The sequence below is a fragment of the Homo sapiens genome, chromosome 9 (genome assembly GCF_000001405.40).
Source record: "Homo sapiens chromosome 9, GRCh38.p14 Primary Assembly".
Lineage (NCBI taxonomy): Eukaryota > Metazoa > Chordata > Mammalia > Primates > Hominidae > Homo > Homo sapiens.
Genome location: NC_000009.12, coordinates 81,393,810 through 81,396,471, shown reverse-complemented (window position 1 = coordinate 81,396,471; position 2,662 = coordinate 81,393,810). Strand labels below are relative to the sequence as shown.

The 2,662-nt window shown below is 41.7% G+C and overlaps 1 annotated feature.

Moving 5' to 3' along the window:
• Positions 521-1,871: an enhancer, noted in NCBI's record as "VISTA enhancer hs722". NCBI's record gives its function as "enhancer in: hindbrain (rhombencephalon)[6/13] | trigeminal V (ganglion, cranial)[6/13]" and the evidence as "EXISTENCE:transgenic organism evidence [ECO:0001131][PMID:17130149]".

The following is a 2,662-nucleotide window of genomic DNA, read 5'->3' as shown; positions in this document are numbered from 1 at the left end:
AGAGGTGATGGGTGGAGGGGATGCGGTAGGGGCTCCCCATGAAACCAAACTTCAGAAGAATCCAAGGTTGCTCAGCTAGGCCTTTCTATCAGAAGGGCTAGGGGGGCCGGGGGTTGGGGGGGAGGAAGATATGTCTGAGGCTTAGATCTTCTAACCCAAGGTAATTAATTTCTAAGCCACATTTTTCCCCCTTTCTGGAAACATGAAAATAAACAACAATAACAACACTAAGACCAAAAAACAATGGAGTCAATTGTTATTTATTACTTCACTGCGCAGCGGTGCTTAAAGAGCATTCACCAGGAATGTGTAGACATTTTTTTTTCCATCCCAGAGCTTAGTCTGGGGCTAGCCCTGTATGTAAATATCCTTTTAGGGTGATAACTCCAATCTCATTCAGTCTCATCTTTTACACTGTTCTGCCTTGCTCTTCCTTAACCATTTCTACAAGCTACAGTAACTTGAATTGTTCTCAAAAGTCAGAACAATTGGAGTAAAGCAAATACTGCTTCCTTTACTGATTGTAGCCAGTGGGAATCTGCGGGGGCCTGGTCACTTGAAGGTGTCTGATTAGTTGTCCACCTACAGCCGATTCCTACACTCTCCCACTCCTCCTACCTTCCCACCCACCCACCTACCCACGGTGCCCCTTGTTACAAGGTATTCTGTCTTGGAGATGAAACAAGTGAGGGCTAAACTAATTAACTAACCAGCAGTGATCTACAGCTTCAGCACCTTGCATTCCTGAAGATTTATCCCATTTCGAATTCATTGCCATTTCCCTCCAGGGAAATAAAGATTGCTGCCTATTAAAGATGGGGACAGAAAAAGGCACCTTCACTGGAGACAGCCTGTACAAGAAAATAATACTGTAATCATTCCCTCCAATCAGCTGAAAAGGATTAAATCTTCTGCTTCTAAAGTAATGTTCCAATTGAGCCTTGGGGAAGAATAATTCATGATTAGGGAGAAGGCTGGTCTAGCAAATGTGAACATTATGTCCATTACTTAAACACACTTCCTGGGCTGACTGCTAATGTACCCAAGGGACTCACAGCCCCAGCAACTGATAGGCGCAATGAAACAGGCAGACAAGGACAAGGAGTATTATCATCTGCATTCAACAGCACTACATAGACTTTACCACTGCTAAATCACTGCCTTTGGTAAATAGCCCAGATAACTCATTTTAATAGAAGAATTCTTCTCTTCTTTATGTGTATTAAACAACAGACTCTTATGAGCGGTGGCAGTGTATTGATTCCTGGGAAAGGCCGTGTGAATACCAATTCTGTAATTTATGCTGTTTTGTGGCTCTGGCTGTATTTGTTATGCATAGTGTATTAAACATTCAATAGCTCAATTTAATCTTTGCAGCCAAATTGCACAGCACATCATGCCAGATAGTGGTTGTTTCATATACACAGCCCATCTGCTTCCTGTTCTATAATTCATTCAGCAGGCAAAGTTTCTGGCAGCCTCAGGCTACCAAAATATATATATATATCCTTAGGGTACAAGAGTGCTTGGCACTCAATTAGTTTTCCTGGTTTCTAGTGCTGTGTGTGTGTGAGCAGGGGTATGTGTTTCCACTTTTATGTGAATTAAAGATGGGAATAGTTTGCTAATTTCTGTGTCCTCATCTGGACAACTTTTCATAAACTTCTGGGGTTTCACAAAACCAAAAGATAAAGTTAGGAGTGAAACAAAAATGATCCTCTCCCTGGGGAAATTATCCACAGCAATAAAATGTGTTCTCTCAACCATCCCTATCTAAATAGATTGATTTATATCTTGTGGGGGGGAAAATAAATAAAACAACCCAAAAAGTACTATAAACTCTTGGCTCCTTTCTCTGGATGAGCCACTTGGGATTCGTGCTCTTATGGCGAATGTTTATTTTCCCTCCAATCCCCTCCTTTCTTGGAGTCCTGCCTCTGTCTCTTAATGTCGGTGGTAACTTTGTTCTTTCCTCATCTCCACTTTCTATTTGCTTTTAAAGTCAGTGTCTAAATGTTGCCCAGTGGAAAACTACATTTGTAGTTTATTGAAGTCTTTCTGCAACTCGCAGTACAAATGCCTGATTTTCAGAGCATTTTATGGCCTTTATACCACACTCAAGGGACATGGACCACCCTGGGATTTTGGGTGATCATTTTATACCTTTTTGGGAAAAGTGACCAAAGAACCCATCTTATGGACTGGAATTATAGCCTCTCAGAGCAGAAGTAAGTCATCCATTCCAGTGACCTCATTTTACAGGTAGTAACAGCCAACACTTGTGTAATGCTTTAGAGCAAAGTCAAACAGGAGGGTGCCAACAGGACTCAATGAGATTTCCCAAGTGACTGCAGCCTGCCTGGTGGGGATGGTGGAGAACTGGAGCACCCAAACCCATGTTGGAGGAGGCCAGCCAATGCCAAGCTACAGAATGTTGTCATGCAGAGTGTGGGCCCGGTGTTTCCAAATGTTTGGTTTTTCGAAAAAAAAAAAAAAAAAAAAAAGCTGGGAATCTAGATTTTTCTTTTTAAATGAGAAATCTGCTTCTTTTTTCAATGCTGGTATTAAGTGATATTATATAGTTTAAAGCACTGCATGGGCCAAACACAACATATCTGTGGGTCTGATAGAGCATCTGGGCCTCCAGTTTGTAAACTGCTTT